This window comes from Homo sapiens, chromosome 8 (assembly GCF_000001405.40).
Source record: "Homo sapiens chromosome 8, GRCh38.p14 Primary Assembly".
Classification (NCBI taxonomy): Eukaryota; Metazoa; Chordata; class Mammalia; order Primates; family Hominidae; genus Homo; species Homo sapiens.
In genome coordinates this window covers 58,033,014-58,055,046 of record NC_000008.11, presented here as the reverse complement: position 1 = coordinate 58,055,046, position 22,033 = coordinate 58,033,014, and the positions used below count along the sequence as shown (strand labels likewise).

Below are 22,033 nucleotides of genomic sequence, written 5' to 3'. Positions count from 1 at the left end.
CAGTTCCCAAAGATGTTATATCATGATCTGTATGGATCTTTTAAAAAATGGTACCACTTTGGAGAATTACTTATCATTTTAAGCAATTCAATACTAAACAGCTGTTTCTAATATCAGGTTAAAAAAAAAGAAGAAAAATAGGACCTGAGAAAGTGCTATGAAATAACTGTTAATTTTTAAGATATATGAGTAAAGATGAAACTAGCCTAAAAAAGAAATTTATTAACTACAGGGATTACTTACATTAAAAAAAGATCTACAGGTAGAGGTCTTTTGCTTTAGAGGGACATGGTTCTCCCCACTCCCGCCATCAACTCTTACAAGCCTCTAGCTGCAAACATACTGGCCCCAGTGCACTCAGGAAAGGTAGATTTCCAAGGGCTCCCAAGACTATGCTCCCACCTACTCTCAAATGCTCTGTTCTTGCAGTCTCAATCTTCTGTCTATCCTCATTGACAGTCTATCTTCCTATTTCTGTGTATCTATTTGTTTAAACGGTTATAACTGAAGAAATATAGCAAATTACACCCAGCTAGCCATGGGTCTTCCATAAATTCCATTTTGAAAAACCACACTGATTCTTTGGTAATGAAGCTGAGGATTAGGGAGAAGTATAGAAATATTCTGCTTGATTTTGTTCATCTGGGATTGGAAGGAGATGTTTGATTTATATGTCTGTTTGCCCTCTGGAAGGAGGCTACCATGGGTGTAGACTGTTTCTAGTTGGTGCTAGAATCTTCTCCTCAGGAGATGTGGTATCTTGTGGTTTCATATCCACCTTCATGCCTCCACTCCCCTCAGGATCTAATTATTAAATTAAATTTAGCCTATAGCTGCCTCCTTATGCATTTTAAGTTTGGCCTAAAGGTTTTTCAGTTCATAGTAAACTGTAACCTAATTGGATGTGTAGACTGTCATCTACTCTTGTGTCAATCACTGAGTTTTGGCCAATCAAAGGCAGCCACCTATACAAACCAAGTTCAAATAAGGCAAACACTGAACTGTAACTCATCTGGTTGTTTATGCATCTCACTTCAGTTTTCTGTACACCACTTTCTTTTTTCTGTCCATAAATCTTCCACCATGTGGCAGCACTGGAGTTCTGAACCTGTGCTGGTTCAGGGGCTTCCCAATTTAAGAATAATTCGTTTCTCAAGTAACCTACGTTAAATTTAATTTGTCTAAGATTTTTCTTCTCCATTAAATACATAATACAGTATACCAAACAAAACAGAAAAATTTTTTAAGTGAGCTGAAGTTCTAGAAGGGAATAGAAAAACATTTTAAGTTAAGCCAAATATTGAATAAAAGTTCATAATGAAACATAAAAATCATTGAGATAAAATAATGGAAAATATTTTACTGGAGCACCAAAACTCTGGTCTAAAATATTTTTCTTGCCTATCTATACTGACTGCCTTAGGGACCTCATGGCTTTAGATACCATAAATATGCTAATGACCTCCTCATTCACATCTCTAGGCCATCTTTCCAAAACACCAGATTGGTGTATCCAATAGCCAACTACATGTCTCCATTGCATGTCATTAGCATCTCAAACTGAGTTCCTGATCTCTCCTAAACGTGACCCCACCACATTCTTCTTTCTTCTGTCAGTTAATGGCAGCATCTTTCTTCCTGCTGTGTTGGCCAGAAACTCAGGAGTCAGCATTTCTGTTCCTCTTTCTATCACACCACACAGCCAAGTTGTCATTAAATCTTACACTTTCAGTTATCAGTCTTTCCAGAACCTGACCATTCCTCACCACCTGACAGCCAACCCCTGGCCCAAGCCACCATCCCTTGCAATCTATGTCTGTAGCTGTCTTACTGGTCTCTTGTAGACTCTCTCAAACACAGCACCTCACTTCTGCAAGGCCAGCAAGAGACTCTCTACTGCAGTCAGCTGATAGAGTTTTATATACTGCAACCTAATCACAGCAGTAAGAGTCCATCACTCTCGGCCGGGCGCGGTGGCTCACGCCTGTAATCCCAGCACTTTGGGAGGCCGAGGCGGGCGGATCACGAGGTCAGGAGATCGAGACCATCCTGGCTAACACGGTGAAACCCCGTCTCTACTAAAAATACAAAAAATTAGCCGGGCGTGGTAGCGGGCGCCTGTAGTCCCAGCTACTCGGGAGGCTGAGGCAGGAGAATGGCGTGAACCCGGGAGGCGGAGCTTGCAGTGAGCCGAGATCGCGCCACTGCACTCCAGCCTGGGCGACAGAGCGAGACTCCGTCTCAAAAAAAAAAAAAAAAAAAAAAAAAAAAAAAGAGTCCATCACTCTCACCACACTCTATCAGGCTTATAACCACCCATTGCAAGGGCCATCTTAGAACTCTGCCTACCACGCTCTCTAAAATCGCTACCCTATCCCACCCCTGCAATATACATATACATCTATCTCCATCCCTGCTTTGTGTTCCTCCGTAGTAATTTTTACCATTTGAATGCAAATATGTTATATATTTATTTATTCTCTGCTTCATTTCACTCAAATATAAGCCTCACAAGGACAGAAGTTTTTGTTTCCTGCTATATCCCCAGTCTGCGGAACAGTGCCTGGTTCAATAAATATTTATTGAATATTTATTGATAAGTAAGTTATCAATAAATAATTATTGAATTAGTCTACTATTTACTATGTAGGTTTACTTTTAAAACATCAGGATCTCAACATCTCTATACTGCTTTCTATGATCTGTTTCTACTGTCATTGCATTGCATCAGAACTTTGTTGAGTCACAAAGGATGAAATTAAATGTTATCCCTTCCCATGGTAACAAAGCTATATAGTTCTATTTTCATTTCAAGTTCCACTGCAAACATGGAAGATTTCAGCCAACTATGTGGTGAGAAGTCCACATTGAGTATTTGTAAAGCCAGCATTTTACGTGTTCCCTGTCCAGTGCCCAGCCTCACAGATGATTCCCATGTTTTGATTTTTTATTTTAAAAATTCTTCAGTCAAACAGTGGAAGGAAAAGGAAGTAAAAGCCAAACTCTCTTTGAATACTGACTTTAAGAAAATTAGAGTATGTGATTAGGTTAATGATTCAAACAGACAGAAGTAAGGTATTCAGAAGGAATGAACATCCTCTTACCAGAGTAATAAATGTTATAGATCCATTATCCACCTCATTTAAATGAATGCTGCTTTTTGAAAGAGGTAGGGGAGAGTAAAAGGCCAAATGCCATAAATATGAAATACAATTCCATGTGAAATACACATTTATATCCGTTCCAACCCATGTGCCTCTGGTTAACAACTTATTTTAGGTGATTTTTAAAAGCCCCAAATTGATATGCACTTAATACTAATATACATCTATCTCCATCCCTGCTTTATCTTCCTCCATAGTACTTTTTACCATTTGAAATGCCAAATATGTTATATATTTGCAAGTCCCATACACAAATTGACAATTTACCTGAACAATGCACCCTGAAAGTCACAAGCACACGGCCTCTCCGAAAAGTAAACATAGGCTACCCAGGTGTTCACAAGTCCTAACAAGCAGCCTGATTTTGTCTTATAGCTTGCTTAGACTTCCCCAGTCTTTTTCATTTTCCCAGCACTACCACCACCAATAGTAGCAATTCAAGGAACACAAAACATTTCTAAATCTCCCTTACCACTGATAAATGAGCATTCATTTCTGAATTCCTGGCTGGCTTTTGTTTCTGGCTTCTCCCCTCTTACCATCCACACAGCTTCAAGGTTAATCTGCTCAAAACAGTGATTTTGATAAGTTGCTCCTCTGGTCTCGAACTCAGGGCAGCTCCCTGTGTCCTAGCTTGTCACGTTCTTAACCTAGGTTAAGCCCTTAACAAGAGTCAGTTTGGTTTCTATGTTCATTGCAAACCTGCACACCTGGCTCCAGTCCTCATCTGGGCACCACTGGCCCAGGAGTGATTGGCTGAAACAATACAGGTCAATGAATGGAAATCATTAAGCATCAAACCCTCAGCCCTACTGACTGTAAATTAAGAACATCTCTGCATGCCAAGGACAGAGCTGTTTTTCTTTCCCATAGAAACACAGTAAGGTTAAACAAGAAGAGAGTTCTTAGAGCACGGTCTTCAGCATCTCAAAGTAGAAGCAGTATAAACGCTGGGGTGAATTTGGCAGCATTTCCCAAGCATTTTAACTGACCTTTCCATGGAGGCGGAATTCAAAGAGGGGCCAGGATTTCCCACCCCCTGGTGTATGCCCTGTGCGTAATCCCTGGGCTAGTAAATACCATGGATTTGACTCCCGTGATTGGCAGGTATGTGGCACAGTGACCTCAAGATAGAGAGAGTATCTGGGTGGGCCTAGCCTAATTTCATGAGCCCTTTAAAAGGGTTTCCTTTGGCTGGTCACAGAAAAGAATCCAAAGAGATTTGAAGTCTGACAGGAATCTGATGAGGGATCCTGCTGTTGGCTGCAATGTTCCTGAGAAGGCCCACAGCAAACAAATGCAAGTGGCTTCTAGAAGCTTCTAAAAACTTCAGTCCTTGGCCTGCAGCCAGGAAACACGGACCTCAGCCCTGCCGACAACCTGAATGAGCTCAGGAGCAGATTCCTCCCCATGGCCTTACTTGAGAGGGCTGTGTAGCCAACTCCTTGCGCTGGAGACCCTGACAGAGAACCCTGCTGAGCCATGGCAGACTTGGAACCACTGAGCTAAGAAATGGGTACTGTCTGTGGAAATCTGTTATGCAGCAATAAAAAACTGGTATGCTTTCCTCTAAGCCTAGCCTCTGTTTGTTCATGCAAAAAGTAACATCCTAAAAGTATCTCACAGCACTATCACCTAAACTCACAGATGTGAACATGTTAAAAAAAAAAAGAAAAGTATAAGAGGTTGCTGAAGAATATTCTATCCTCCTCACAAGACCATGACATCTGGGAACAAGCAGAATATACAAATCCTTAATGACAATGACTATTTTAAAGACCACCATGCATTTGCCATTTTTCTCAGCAATGGTAAAATTGAAACCAGCCCTTCCATGATATTTTATTAATGTCACATCAATGACAGGAATATCAACAATATAATTTATTTACATTTCTATGAGGTATATTAGGAAAAGTGTTCATCTTTTATTCATCAAAATACTAATTATCTACTGTATACAGGATCCTTTGTAAATGCTTACTGAATAATTCCAAGGAATGCTAATAAAAATATGCCATCAGTAGATTATTACAAGAAAAAGTAAATATTAGAGGATGTTTTTCCCATTGCTTTACTTAAGAGTGAGCATTAACTTACTAAAATATAAATATTCTGAAATAAAATATACAAATATTCTGCATCTGATTCAGCCCTTGTTCTGCAGATATTCACAGGCTATTAAGAAAGACACAGACAGTCTGTTAGGAATTGAAACGAGCAATTTCAATCAGTACAATATTAGTGGTATGTGTGGTCTTTAAGATTCAGTGTAGCCAGGGAGTTATATATGTGTAGTGTGACAGTGGCGAGGGGTCAATTAAAGTGTCTATCCTCCGTCAATCCATCTGCTGTGCATCCATCCATCCATACATCCAAGACTGTTACAAGCTAATGAGAAACATCTGACCTAATTAGGGCAGTTCTGGCATTTGCTGTGCACCTAAGGAGTGTAAGCAACTACATTTAAAAAAAAAAAAGACTAGCTTTTCAAGAAATATTTGTATCCATTGTAACTTGCTTAAATATGAAAGATAGTTGACAGTTTTTAATCTGTTATGATTAGGCATTCACATCTCTAATACAACAGTTTGAACACCACAAAATTTCATCCATCCATGCAAAGGGAGCACTATTTTATGCACTAACTTCTAAAATCCCCCAAATAGAAAGTTATATCAAAACCAAGCTTACTCCCCAGAAACATAATATATGAGAGTTCAGGACTGAAATCAAACACACTCAAACTTTCATTCCTGACCCAGCAATCTAAAATGACAATACATGTATTCTTGAGATGGCAGAGTAATTAAAAAAGAAAATAATCACCATTATAGTTTAAGAAAAAACACACACACAATATCTATCCTACCAGTCCTGCTGAAAGGAAATGAAAATCTCAATCGGTATTACTCTATAATGATTTTTCTTAAGTGAGAGACTTCCCCACGATAATCCATTTCTTATTTGGCATTTATTTTTAAAAGGATGAGCTATGACTACTCACACAAGCTGTTTTCAAATTCTACCACTGAAAATCATTCCTAAAAAAAATTTCTGAAACTCAGTGATCAGATGTTTAACATCTGCTGTGTGCTCAACAAAGTCAGGAATGCAAAACAGAGTGCTTGGAAATAACAGGCACATAATGAATGCACTGATTGAATGTAGTGAGAAGGACAACATGGGCCCAAGCCCTGAAGTAGGTTAGATCTTGGCTGTAGAGATGCAGCTAATAAACATGTGAACATTTTAAAATTAAAAATTCATAATATAAAACAATAACAAAACACCCCAAAGAACTATCTACTTAGAAATGATTAAGATGGTACATTTTGTATCATGTTTTTCACCACAACTAAAAAGGAAAGGAGGGCAGGGGGAAGGAAGGGGCAGATGATCAAGCTAGGAAGACACCAATGCCTTGGAGGAGGGCAGGCAGAAGAGACAGGAGGGTTGGGGCCTGAGGAAACCCCAATAATGGGAAATTCCCCCACAGAGGCAAAGGTGTCAGGTATCAGCAGGTAAGGAATTCCAAGAAGTATAATGGTGAGATCAATGTTAATATTCCTTTTTAAAATAAAAAAAAATCAGGACCACCAAAATAGCCCCAGCAAATCTGCACTAAAAGTCCTTTCAATGCTATTTTTATCCTCAAAATATGAACAGATAATTTTCCTGGAAAATGCAGACACTTCTGAAAGAGCCTAAGTTAGAGAAAAACCACTACAGACTGCTGTTTGCCAAACAATTCACTGATGAGTTACTTCTGTAATAATGAACTACGCTTAAGCACCCTAGAGCTTCAAGCTGGGTTTAAGGATGACTAAGAAGTATTTAGAATCAACACTGAATTTCCTCAGTACATACATAACCTTCAGATGTAAATCATTAAGCTTTTATGCTAATAACTCTTCTGGAGAAGTTGAAAGAGGGTTAAGATGAAGACGCTAAAGTTTAAATTAAATCCTACTTTGACATTAAAAAAAATTTTTTTTTCAAAATTCTCAAACTGGTCTCCAAGCACACTAACTCCTACATAAAGAAGCTATTTTTTAAAGCCCTAAGATATCAATATTCATTATGCACACTGAATAGCCCAGAAAAAGCTCTCAAGTTTTACAAGAGATCAGTCATTTACCAAAACAAGTATAAACTGTACAGATAGAATGCCTGTATTACTATTCCTATTTAATAGGTACCTCTTCAGATATTTACTAAGGACCGTGACTTGATTTATATAAGTCAGAGAGAGAGAGAGAGAGAGAGAGAGAGAGAGAGAGAGAGAGAGGAAAAAGGAAGATTAATTACAATTTGATGAGGTACAGAGTGCCTCTGGTCAGTTGCTGGAACTACACCCCAGATGTAGTTCAGGGATGCCATTGAGGTGATGGTTGGAGACTGTGATGGTGCCTTCTACTCTGGAACTTCTAAAGGAAACAAAAATGGCAGCTTCCAGGCATAGATCACATATCTCTATAGTTTATGAATGCATCCCCAAGACCCAAACCTTACTACAAACATCCTCCCCCAACACAGACCTCAGAGCAAAGGCTTCAGGTACTTAATATTTACCTCTTCTCTGCAGATAGGCTGAGACTCCTGGGCCAAGGCGTAACAATTATTTAACTATTTGAAATCCTGCAGAATGCTCAGTCACCGCTTCCAAAAAAGCAGAATATCTCATTCTTATTAAAGAGTCTTCACTGTTTTCATAGGAAAGCAGTGTACTGAGTTTGCATTTTCTACCTAATCAAATTATCTCCTGGAATATTATTTTCAATATCGTTTGGAAATGTCCCCTATCATCACCAATATTTTCTCTTCGTAACTCTTCTATCCAACTTTCTTTGCTTTGAAAATGTGTTAACATTACGGCTGTCGACATCAGCTCTAGAAATCTGCCATATATATTTCATAGGATTCTCAGCCCAACACTTTTACCTTAAGACCCTATGTCCTATAGTACAAATTCTCTCCAACATGTGTAAAACCACCCAAACATTGCACATTCAACTGCACTATAGTCACTACAGTAAAGTGTGACCCCTCTGCAAGGTCTAGTGTAAGACAGGAGATGCAGTAATTAAAACTGGCCATTATGGTGGCCTGACTTGGCATCAATGACTCTTCTTGCAAAATAAGTGAGAGCAGGAGCAGATGATAGGAGTTGAAAATTAAGAAATGCTATTTTGCCTATGGTAAGAGGGATACATTGATTTTCTTCTTAGATTCCTGCTCTAAGGGAGTTTCAAAGGTTGCCCCAGCAAGGAAGAAATTACATACCTATGTACATCTAACTAAGGTTTTCTGGTTATCTCAGGTTTGCCAATGGATGACTATGTTGTAGTTAATGAGGATTCCTGGTATACACAGTACTGTAGACTAGAAAGAACACAATACCTGGAATCATGAGTCTTCAGTTACATTTGTTAGTTAACTCCTGGGCCCCACAGAACTGCTCTGTGCCTTAGTTTTTTCATCTGTGAAATGGGCACTCTTCAGAATGACAAAAACTATGTGCAAATGATTTCTGAGAATCCAGGAGTCCTAGAAGACTGAATTACTAACACTTTTAAAGTTCACAGTTGTGTTATTAATATATATAGTAATGGTTGGTTTTGACAATTTAATTGCATAAAATATAAAAATTCAATTATAGCTAATTAGAGCTAATATAATGCTAACTTGGCCACCATGCTTAATGAATATCATATTTTATGTTACTGAAGTGATTCTTATGTTAACAATAAGATCATAGCAGAAAAAAAATTCACCTAATCAGCATGGTGATGGTATTAGAACATGGGGCCTTTGGGAGATGATTAGGATACAAAGGCTGCAACCTCATGAATGGGATCAGTGCTTTTGATCAGGCTCTTAGAAAAGAGCCCCAGAGAGCTGCCTTGTCCCTTCTGCCTTGTGAACCCACATAGAAGGCACCATCTATGGGGAAGGAGCCCTCACTGGACACCAACTCTGCTGGGGCCTTGATCTTAGACTCCAAAACTGTGAGCAATCAATTTCTGTTGTTTATATATTACTCAGCCTGAGATATTTTGTTATAGCAACCTGAGCAAACTAAGACATTCTCTGTAAAGGAATGTCCACCTTCTGGTATTAGGATCTTAATATAATTTCTTTGTTTTTCATAAGATGAAAATCCTCCTTGGTCTGTGGTCCATAGTGCAGTGGTTTTCACAGATGGCCGATGACTTTTGAATTTTATCCAATAGATAAAACTTTAATTGCTCTAATCAACTATGAAACATGTCTGTCAGATGAAACCTGGGTGGCTAACTGGCCTCAAGGTCACAATATAAAATAAAAATAAGTACAATATTAAAAGAAGTCCAAGTCATTAGAAGACATCACATATAGTAAAGCTGTTCACAGAAACAGACCTATGCCTCATGAGTACACAGAGCGTGCATGCAGTCAGATCAGGAAACAGTTCATTCATTTCACTGGGTGCCAGGCCCTGGGGATAGAGCAGTCAAGAAACAGATAAAACATCCTGCCCTCAAGATGCTTAAATCCTCATCCTACTATTAACACTGAACTTACTAAATGAAGAGCGACACAGTAGCGAGAGAGAGTGTGGTTATATGTCACTTTGCTGACACCCTGCCACAGCCCTGATGACTGCTGATGCACACAGCACTGCTGTGAACAGTTAAGGGAATGGAATTCAAGTGTGCTCTGAACTCCACATGAAGCCCCGTGCTAGCCCTCCTCCCTTAATAAAGGTGTCAATAACCATCATAATTGCAGAGACCTACACCACACCAACTTAAGATTGTCAGCTTACAATGAATTCCACTCCACTAATTTTTAAAATAATGCTTTAACAGGCTATTAAGCATTGACTTTTACCTAATTAAAGCTCCTTAAAAAGAGAGCTTTTTATTTTAGCCAGTTAACTCATTATTTCCTAAAACTAAGTAGTATAAATGCTACATAACTCATGTAATATTGAATATCCTTAATTGATAAAAACAGTTTGAGGGCTCTGTTTCACTTCATCCATAAAGTATTCTGCCCCTGTCTCATAAAAATTTCCAAGTGTTGCCTGATTTTTAACCACAATGCTCTTCATTAAAGAGCATCCATGATGCCCTGAAGTCTGATGTGTGAGTGAGTTTTGCTTGTTTCAAGCTAAATGACAGCTGAAATATTTCCATTTGGTTTTTATTTTCTGATTCTATTGTGTCAGTGTCTAATTTGCAAAGTTACAAAGCTGATGATTTTGTTAAGTGTAACATCCATAGTCTGGCTACTAAGGTCCATCTAAATTAGAAATGAGTGCAGGTACTTAGTTTGATTGTTCAGCTGCCACCCTAACAGCTTCTTTATTTACCTGGTAGCTGCTGCTTTTATATGGATATTTTAATATACAGACATTTCCTACATAACATATTTTTATTTTTTCATTCATACATTTTTAACTGAAAGGTAGCTTCGATGCACTGAGGTAAGCCTATAAAGCATGAACTATTACCAGAGATATATTTGTTTTCTGTATGTTCCTGAAAGTTATCTAAATAAGGCTGTCAGGCAGCTTTTGAAGGGCTGCACAGACAGTTGCACAGGCTGCACACTGAACAATCTCAGGGGTCATCATGACCACGGTAGTCTATGTAAGTGGCACCCCTAGGATTGCACATTATTCACTTGTATGAGTATATGCAGTGCCTCTGAGAACACATGTTATCTAGGTGTGAACTCATGCTGCTCTAGAAAGTAATTCACAAGTAGCACAGATGAGGTGCTTTATTCAAGCCCCCCAAAACATATCTAAGCCCAGAAAAATAGTATTCATATTCATTGGTTCAAACATCTCCCATAAAAGGGGAAATGTGTATTCACATAGTCAAACCAAATGCAAAGAAATAAGGGAGATGTGCATTACATTTTTTGAAGACACTACAGTATAGCAGTCAAGAGAAGGGAATTCTAGAATCAGTCTGATTGGATGCAAGTACCTGCTTCACTACTTTATTAGCTTGTGTGACCCTAATCAAAGTATTTCATCTCTCTATGCCTCAGTCTCCTCATCTATAAAATGGCATAATAACAGAACCTACCTCAGAGCTGTTAGGAGGATTAAATGAGGTAATACATGTAAAATAGCTAAACCAGTGCCTGGCAATAGCAAACTATGTAAGTGTTTGGATTTCGTATTGGTTCTATTAGGTAAAAAAATCAAAGCAGAAAGAGGTCAGGGGTTTAAGAATTAGTGATGTATTCCAGATTGAAAATGAAGGCTCTTCATTAGGAGATATACCTAATGTAAATGACGACTTAATGGGTGCAGCATACCAATATGGCACATGTTTACATATGTAACAAACTTGCACGTTGTGCACATGTACCCTAGAACTTAAAGTATAATAATAAAAAATATATATAAAAAAAGTTATAAAAATAAATAAAAAATAAATAAATAAAAAGAAAATGAAGGCTCTTGATTAACAGGGAAGTTTTCAGCAGACCAATCTGTTTTACAACTCAAGTTTCTGACAAAGTTAAAATCCCTGACTTGAAGTAATCATTAGGTCTGAAAAGCAAACTCGCACTCACTGAGTGTTACCACTATTGATGTGGCCGTCCTCACAGGGCACCGGGCTGGTGCATCGCAGCCTTCGGTGCCTCAGCTGACATTTACTGGCCACCTCTCCTCTTGGGTAGGGACGCACCTAGGGGACAAACGACTCCAGTTTACCTAATCAGCTGCCAATAAAACTTCAAATCCTACAAGGGAATAACTGCCCAAAGGCTCGTGCAGCCTGCCCTGGTGAGGTGTTTGCTGCTTTCATTCATATTCTTTAAATATCAGCTAATCCCTGGTGCATCGCACTCCCACCTTGGAAAATTATCTCATTCACTGCAGTGCAAACAGGCCCTGCTCCTGGTGCTATGAGAGAGAAGGAAGTGTTACAAAGATGAAAGCACCACGCAAAGTTTCCCAGGCTGGAGGGAGCCAGGACTATTCCCACAGTGTGAAGTGGGACAGCTAGAAACCAGAAAAAGTCCTGGCATGTTAATTTGCAGATGCTTTTTTATCTATTTCAATTCTTACGCAAGCATCCAGGAGATTTGATAAGCAGTTTTGATGTGGATTACAGTTTTAGATAGTAGAAAACACAACATACACAAGAAACATATTTTTAAAGAGAATTAAATATATGCAACATTCAAGCTTCTCTCACACCTACATCTAGCAATTCTAGAAAAGCGCAGTCCTACTCATAAAATGCTGGCACATGATGGTGCACACATTATCTAACTGTACCAAAATGTCCCACAGTACCTCTTGCAACCAATCACCTAACTAGTTCTCTTGGAAGAAATAAGACGGGGAGATCCCACTGGGGAAAACTGAAGTTTGTATCACAGAAAAATCCAGGTAAATTAGAGGTCTGACTAAACTAGGAATAGATAGGTTGTGTAAAAGAATCTCTGCAAAAAGCAGCCAAAAGACAAATGGGTCCCCTAATTTCATCTCTGCATGATGCTGACATTGCACTCACAATTCTCATTACCACTGGATTGTGCCAGAAAATCAGGAAGTGGTGCCCAAACCCTGTAACTCAACAGCTTAATAAAAATGCATATGTTCTATTTTTAAATTAATCAACATCTGTGATTTTAGAATTTCTTCATCATAAATGCAATTAGTACCATACACTAGATCACATGTGTGGAATCTAAAAAGATGGAATAGGAGCTTTCAGTCCAATAACAGTACTTGTTCTAAATTTTTGCCTGATTATAACAGTCACATAAAAAATTCTATGTCTTATGAAAACAGAGAAATCAAAATCTATTTTATTCAGCCTTTATATGGTAAACAGGAGGAAACAGGTTTGGAGAGTTTACACACTGTACCAAAGGCTCTATCCCACTAAGAACTGAAGCGAGAACCCTGCTTATTTCATCTAAGAAAAATCAGAGTTCAAGGAAATAATTTCAATTCCTAGCACTGCTTCCTGACTGACAGCAGAAGTCAGCTGTCTGTCAACCATCTGCCAGTTAAGTGATTAGTGAGTCCTACAGCTGAAATTCAGAGAATAGGAATACCTGCACTAGCTTTAAGTAAGTCCTTACTTAGCAGATGGTTAACACCAGTAAGTGCTGATGACCCCTATTCTTCCTCCACCAATCAGTGCAATGCAAGGCATCAATGTCACAAGTTGGTGACAGCTGATTACCACTGTAGTGAGTGAATTTTACCATGCAGGGTAGTGTGCTTACCTTCCCTACCTGGCAACAAGACTCCCCATGTGTTATGATTTCCATTGACTGTGGCTCACTCCACATGGGCAGTAGCTGCAGAATAACAACAAATCAAACTGTTGGGGATGGGGGAGACAGAATCAGCAAAGAACATTTGCTGATATGTTGGCTAAAATATCACCATCAATCAATTAATGAGGACCACTGATGGTACATAGTCATGACTGGATGTTTCAGATGTGGACAGAAGGGTAACATAGGAGAAGAGTGGGAACTATCATCACCTTTTAGATTAAAACAGTGGTCCCATTTCTTGCTGGAACGAACACTGCGACTAATGTTCACTCCCTTCATCTGGATATGTTAGTGAGGTGTGCACAGACGATTAAGATTTTCCCATTTTCGGCTGCGCGCGGTGGCTCATGCCTGTAATCCCAGCACTTTGGGAGGCTGAGGTGGGGGATCATCTGAGGTCAGGAGTTCAAGACCAGCCTGGCCAACATGGGGAAAACCCATCTCTGCTGAAAATACAAAAATTAGCCACATGTGGTGGTGGGCACCTGTAATCCTAGCTACTCAGCAGGCTGAGGCAGGAGAATCACTTGAACCTGGAGGCGGAGGTTGCAATGAGCCAAGATCGCGCCACTGCACTCCAGACTGGGCAACAAGAGTGAAACTCTGTCTCAAAAAAAAAAAAAAAAAAAAAAAGATTTTCCCATTTCTAACCTCTGCTTTTAAAAAAATGTACATTTATCACATTTATCACTACCATTTATTATTTTAGCTATAAACCATGGTATGCCAACTTAAGGATAGTAGAGAAAGAAGAAATATCATAAGTGGACATTTTCAGTCTCATTAAAAACTGATTTTTTTTAAAAAAGCTGATCCTGCATAGCTATAATTTACTTTCCACTTACCTTAATGTAAGTCTCTAGATTTTCAAATCAAAATACAATTTTAAAGTTCCTAATATAATTGTTAGCAAAAAAGGTGAGGCAGTGTTTTTAAAATTATATGGAAACAGGCACTATTTCCTAAGATGTGAATGCATCCGTTTTGGGTGTAGGCATTTGGTTCTGGGTGGGCTAATGGCCACTGCTGCCTGGGTTAGTATTTTCTCTTCCTCCAGCTCTAATCTAGGCAGAGCGGCCCTGGAGTGCCTGGTCTCTATGTGGGCCTGTGATGCTGACAAGATGACTGTGCAGGAGCCACAAGCCAACGCCTGGGAGAGCAGCCGCCATGCGCATATGGCACATGCTCACTGGGATACAGATACCAGTTTCTCTTCGTAAGCATATTTCAGGTATTGGTAACGTTAGAGGAAAGCAAACTGCTTCTGTGTGCTGTATGTTCAATAAATAAACTATCACAGAATGCAGATGAATCCACTTTGGGGACAGAATTATTTGTGCCCAAATAACAAGTAGGGAATGTTAAATATTTTGCAGGAGAAAAAAAAAAGCGTTCACTCAAAAATTGCTGAGGTGGGTACAGTATGTCGAAGAAGCGCTGACCAATTCCAGTGCTTTGGGAGGCAGAGAAGGGAGGATCGCCTGAGGTCAGGAGTTCAAGGCCAGCCTGGGTAACACAGTGAGAGGCTGTCTCTACAAACAAAAAATTTAAATTTTTTTAAAAATTAAAAATGTAAAAGATTTAAAAATTTAATTAAAAAAATTTTAAATATTCAAAATTTAAAAATTAGAGACCACACCACTGTCTCCACAGGCACGGTGGCATATGCCTGTAGTCCCAGCTACTTGGGAAGCTGAGGTGGGACTGCTGGCACCCAGGAGTTCAAGGTTACTACTGTGAGCTATGATCACATCACTGCACTCCAGCCTGAGCAAGGGACGGAGTCCCTGTCTCTAATGTGTGTGTATGTGTGTGTGTATGTTTAAATATATATAAGAAGTGACCTCCAGAGGGGGAGACTAACCTTACTCTATGTGACTCAAACCACCACTATCAGGAGGCAGATCTGAAATTTGGCTCTGAAATTCCTGCTGTACTTCCCACTGTCCCATAGATAGGAGCGGCTCCTAACACAGCCTACTCAACAGACAAAACTTCTTAAATGACTATTTTTAAAATTGTGAGAAGAGTACTAGTGAGTGAAATTTCAACACCATATAAACTCAATGGGATCTCACATGTATAAGACTTTTTCTACATGGCTGGTGAGAAGTTGAAAAGCAAAGAGTAAGAAAGTGAAGCTGGAGACAAAGGCCTTCTTGGCCCCTGGAACAGGCCTGTGGTGCTCCAGGGTGGACTCGCCTGCCTCGGCCAACCAGCAGGGAGACAAACAGGGACTGGACACATTACAGGCACTCTGCAGGAAATGAGTTTCCTCTTCCAGTCAAATTAAGGCTGATCTAAGAGAGCTCCCTGCATTTTCAGCATAACCCAAACATAGGAGGTTCTGAGAATGACAATGACTCTGGGCTCAGCAGGGCCAGCAAGGAGGGGCCCTGTGAGTGCCAGCCCAGGCTGGCACCCGGCGATCTGGCTCCAGAGAAATGCCGTCAGGCTGACATGCTTTCCTCAGCTCCTCCAGGGAATTCTGTCAAAAACACAAATCTTGCAGGCTCAGTCAAATGCTAAATATAAAGAAATATGGGATCAGATAACAACTCTGGTGGCTTAACTATGTGCTTCTCAATCAAGAGCCACGTCTTTCTGGCACCGCACAGCGGGTGCCCAGAATACATTTGTTAAAGGAACCAATGAATGAGCAAACACAAACACACAGCTGTTTAGGAAATTCCTGAATGCCAAGCTCTTCTCTGGGTCCGGGATGAAGTGGATCTGAAGGGTGGGTAGAGAGAGCTCATCACTTTTAATATAATTTGATGCACTTGTTACTTTTCAGAGATTTTTTTTTTTTTGAGACAGAGTCTCAATCACTCTGTCACCCAGGCTGGAGTACAGTGATGCGATTTTGGCTCACAGCAACCTTTGCCTCCCAGGTTCAAATGATTCTCCTGACTCAGCCTCCAAAGTAGCTGGGATTACAGGCCTGTGCCCCTACACCTGGCTAACTTTTGCGTTTTTAGTAGAGATGGGGTTTCACCATGTTGGCCAGGCCGGTCTCAAACTCCTGACCTCAAGTGATCCACTTGCCTTGGCCTCCCAACGTGCTGGGATTAAAGGTAATTTTCATAGATATTTTAATTACATGAAGAATACCTACACTAAGAATACCTTTGCTGTATTCTTATAGCTATTTACAAGGCAATTGTGAAATGATCTCCGTTTTCTCCTCTGAAAATCAAGGAGTTAAAATTAAATATGCAACATCTCTGTCTTCAACACTCCAGGATTCCATATGCAAAATATAACACAGCTCTGAGTAAACAGAACAGTCATTAATGGTCCGAGGGTTGATGATGAGGAGTGATGGCAGCTCTGTAACCTAATTTAGAGTAAGCAGTACCTGATACTTAATTTTTAAGTGAAAAGAGGCTACCATGCATTTCTATGTCATCAGCAATCACTCAGGGAGAGGACCACACGCTTTCTCAATAGGTGCAAGTATCCTCCCAGTCGTATCTTTCGAAGATTAAAGAAACAAAAATTGGGTGAGCTACTAAGCAAAACAATCTAGAATTCATTTGGTACAATACATCTTGCATTTCAAACCCAGACAGTCCCTGCTTGTGTCACACATTGGTGATGCCTATCTGTTCAGCTGATAGACTCCAAACAAAGAAAGTAGCCTCAGAGATGAAGCGTTAACTGTAGTGGGGGAAGGAGAAAGCGAAAATCAAGATAGTCAGGTATGACGGCCCCAGACAACAAAGAGAAAGAGAGAAAAGTAACGGCTGTTTTCCAATTCTAATTAAGTTAGGAAACAAGTCAGAAAACATTGCCAAAGACAGTACTCACTGAAAAGAGATGCCACTAAAAAAGCTAAACAGATTGTGAACAATACTTTTCGTGAAAAAAGAATTTCATCATCATGACTGATGTATGCAACCTAAATCGGAAAACTTTTTTTTTTTAAAGAGACAGAGTCTTACTCTGTCGCTCAGGCTGGAGTGCAGTGGCACTATCAGCTCACTGCAGCCTCCAACTCCTGGGCTCAAGCAATCCTCCTGCCTAAGCTTAACTGAGTAGCTAGGGTTATAGGCGTGCACCACACACTAGGATAATTTTTAATTTTTTTTTTTGTGGAGACTGAGTCTCACTATGTTGCCAAGCTGGTCTCAAACTCCTGGCCTCAAGCAATCCTCCCAATTTGGCCTCCTAAAGTGTTGGGATTTCATAAGCCACCATTCTAAGCTCCAAATTGGAGGACATTTTAATTAAAAAAACAAACAAACAAACAAACAAACCAAAAAAACTTCCTTTTAGAGAGAAGGCAAGTAAAAATTATATATTAATATATAAAACCTCAAATCACTAAAAGTACTGTTTTTAAAAAGATAATCCTATGTAACAATAAGAATGCATTTACTATAGATAGTAGGTTTGTAGGTTGATCAGCTTATAGACTATGTAAAAAAAAATTTAACATACTTGTACCTTAACGGCATTAATACATGAAGGGTCTATCAATACTTTGATGTTTTCAAACAATCTGAAAAACCAAAACACACCATCCGATGTTCTTCCCCTTTACTCAAACACTGAAACAAGGTAAAAAATAATAAGTATGATTGGATAACAATAAGGGAAACTCATTCCGGGAAAATCTAAGTTTATATTACCAAATTTCACAAAACCAGTATACTCTTGTACTTGGAGAAGAAAAATTCAAATTCTTAGGGTTTGAAGAGGTTGAAGAACTGTATACTACTACATATTAAAATACACTCATGCTTAAGGGGTTTGCTCTTCAATGGTACTCAAGTCAGATCAATACCTAAAGCAAATAAGGAAGCAAACTCAATTACAGCTGAAGTCCAAAATCAAATCACACCTCTGGGAAGTGTGTATGTGTGCACACATGTGTTTGCATGTGCACATGTGTGCAAGAAGAGTGGGGGTTCTCACTAATCTATCCCATTCAGATCAGCACCTTAACTACTCTTTGGTTTTCAGAAACTTTCACTTGGCATGATTACAAATTTTGAGAGGTGGCTGTATTATTCTTACCAGCTTAATCTCATGACAAATCCTAACCTGTGGGCAACCATGAAATAAGGCAAATTTACTTTAAAAAGTCAGTGATTTTTAAGACTGCTGATGTCTACTGTTGGAAAGAAGAACACTTAGCAAGTTCAGTTTTAGATTTCCACCATGAGGAATGGTATTATCAAGTAAGATAATAAGTCTTGATTTCACACAGAATATAAAATGTCTGGCTGAGCCTGGCTCTCTCCTGTGAAATGCAAACAGACTTGCTGAAATTCAGGCGTAATACTGTTCTCTGCCAGAATATAATGATGTTAATAGAGACAGAATGTTTTCATCCCAAATTAGCTGAGAAAAGATGTAGCAAAGGACACTGATAAAACCACTCTAAGAGGTGGACTTAAGTCAGCATGAGAGACGTGGCACCATGATTCTGAAAGAGAGGCTGCCTACTCCTTCCCTTGGTGTGTAACTGATATAAGGGTCTACAGGAATACAAGTCACCACTGCAGAAACAGCAAGTGTAGTAGCATTATTGCTTCACATCAGGACCTCCTCCATAGAGGCCCGGGCTACTGCATAGGGAATGCTGGGAGAACAAGAACACATGGGACCTTGCACAAGGTCAGTCTCATAAGGAGGAGGAGTTGGGGATGGTAAGATAAGGAGGGGGAAGGGGCAAGCAGGGAAGGAGGGCAGAAGGAAACAAGAGACAGATGACTCCAGCCCATCGGCATCCTAAACTTAGCATAGAGCAAAGAACAAGTATCACTATCACTGCACTCAAATGCACATGTTACTCCCACTACAATGTCTTTCTTTATAGTTTAACTGTACTGCTAAAGGTAAATTTGAAAAGTCATCATATTCTCAGCATTCTAACAAATGGGTTTTCACATCTTCAATTCCTTTGCTGCATTTTCAATTCAGTTCCCATCTGTACTGAGCATGCTTAATGCCAGGCCTGGGTGCTAAGATAACAGGACAGGTCTCTATGGCCAGGAGGGCTCAGACACATTCACTTTCTAAGGTGACTTACAGTGAATTATGCATACTCTTTTCTTTAAAACACATTTTTAAGCCAAGTAATGTCATTAGTTTCAAGTATACGAAAAACAAATGTGTGAAACAAATGGTAAGAAAATTCTCTAATATACCAAGGATTCAAATGTGTCTTTAGTTCAAAGTAGAGGAAAATGAATGCCAAAGTTTGTTAAACACATCTCATTTAATTTAGGTATGAGATGACAGGGTCAAATGTTAATAGATTTCAATTTGCTTGCTTTAATCATTTCATAACAACCATATAACATAAGTGAGCATTTTCCAGTATACTTCCCATTTAAGGATGATAAAAAATATTGTCTAATGAGAGAACAAAATAATTACTACTATCTTTATTCTTAAGTTGATTTTTAAATTTCATAAAAATCCAAGAATATATTGCCTTTTATATTTAAAAAGTAGCACCTAATAAGAATAAAAGGATTTTTGGACACATAACTCTTGACTATTCACTCTAGTAGTCAATCATAACCAAAGCTTTTATGAATGAGCCTTTGTGACCAAAGTTTAGACAATGACTTAAACTAACGATGAGATGACTGAACTTGCGGCCATTCTTCCCTACTACTATTAGATATTCCCCCACACTCTGGGTCACAATGTCTGTCCCATTCTGAACACATTTGCTGATAGTGCTATTTTTACTTTACCATTATCACGGAGGGCTCTCAGTTACAGAGTATGCACTATGCGCCCAGCACAATGTATTTATATACACCACCTCATTTAATGCTTACAGCAACCCTCAGAAGTAGGTATTATCTCCATTCTGCAGAAGATCACAGTACATAAGCTACTAACATACCTTAAACACTTCTCATGTGCCAGCTCATGTAGCAACTCACATTCCTAACAACAATCCTATGATCTGGGCACTATCGTAATTCTGCTTTGATGGATGAATAGGCTGGCACATCAAGTAAACAGCTTTCCCAGGGCTGTACCTATTGCACATGGCAGAGTCCAGGTCCTGACACAGGTCCTTCTAACATTAAAGCCCACACTCTTACCCTCAGCACTGAGGAGTGTGGCTCTCCAGGACTGCTCTCTGTCACTAGACATGAGAAGAATTGAAACAATGGACAGGAAAGGGGTCAGGGCTGGTTTGGGCAGAGCCAGACCTTCCGACCCATAAGTCAGCTGATAAATCCAGCTGGGACACTCCCCCTGCCCAAGTTTTCCTGAAGGAACTCACCATAAGAAAACAGAAGCCTTGCTTCAAAGCTGGCAACTCAATGATACCCGGAGCACAAGACCCAAATGACAGGGTTTCTGAGTGTCCAGGGCACTAGGCATTCCAGGATAACAAGCCTTGGTCTAGACAGATGCACCATGCCCATTCAATGGTCATCTGTCCCTTAGTTACCGCAGCCCACTGTGTCCCTCGGCCATAGTAGGCTCTGGACTACTGATTTTGTTACTCAGGCTCTTGGTTACCCAGGCCTGTTTCAGGAGGGACTGCTGGAATTTACGGCAAAATTGTTTTGGGATATACTGGTGGGCATCCAGTGATGGGAGGGCTCAATTCCAAGGGCGCGTGGGGAGGTTAACAAAGGCTACCAGGGAAAGGTAGTAGGAGGGTTGAGCCTGAGACCAGCAGCAATGCTCTGGCATCCCAGGAGGGAGGCAGGAAGCCAGGGTAAGAGACGGTCAGCAGGAGGAAGACGTGTGGCAATCAACTGACTTGCAGCTGACAGCTTAATGACAGATGAAAAAACACTGAAAAATAAAACTATTTTTTTTTAACTTTTTAATAATAGCCATTCTGACTGCTGTGAGATGGTACCTTGTTGTGGTTTTAATTTGTATTTTTCTGATGATTAGTGACATTGAGTATTTTTTCATGTTTGTTGGCTGCTTGTTATGTCTCCTTTTGAGAAGTGTCTCTGCATGTCTTTTGCCCACTTTTTACCGGGGCTATTTGGTTTTTTGCTTGTTGAAATCATTTATGCTCCTTCCACAGAGGAAAGGGAAGGATTATACACTGTTGGTGGGAATGTAAATTAGTTTAGACACTGTGAAAGTAGTTTGGAGACTTCTCAAAGAACTTAGAACTACCATTTGACCCAGCAATCCCATTATTGGGTGTATAACTGAAGGGAAATAAATCATTCTACCAAAAAGACACATGAATTTATATGTTCACTGCAGCACTATTCACAATAGCAAAGACACAGACTCAACCTAGGTGTACATCAATGGTGGACTGGATTAAAAAAATGTGGTACATACACACCATGGAATACTACAGAGCCATTAAAAAAATGCAATCACGTCCTTTGCAGCAGCATGGACACAGCTGGAGGCCATTATCCTAAGTGAATTAATGCAGGAACAGAAAACAGCATGTTCTCACATATAAGTAGGAGCTAAACATTGAGTACACATGGATATAAAAATGGGAGCAAAAGGCACTGGAGACTACTGGGGGGAGTTACAGGGGGAAAAGGCTGAAAAACCTATCGATGGGATACTATGGTTGCTAC

General features: G+C 39.6%; 1 protein-coding gene across 4 annotated transcripts in view; it reads right to left on the bottom strand.

Moving 5' to 3' along the window:
• Window positions 1-22,033, bottom strand: part of FAM110B (family with sequence similarity 110 member B) — a 154,262-nt gene that overhangs the window by 93,738 nt on the left and 38,491 nt on the right. The window contains exons 3-4 of one of the 4 annotated variants that reach the window (XM_047422400.1): window positions 17,931-18,034; window positions 11,748-11,863 (exon numbers count right to left, since the gene is read on the bottom strand). The exons of 2 other annotated variants lie outside the window; for them this stretch is intronic. The gene's annotated coding sequence lies outside the window, so the exon portion shown is untranslated. The remainder of the gene's footprint in view (window positions 1-11,747; window positions 11,864-17,930; window positions 18,035-22,033) is intronic. One more of the 4 variants, NM_147189.4, reaches the window with a different exon arrangement.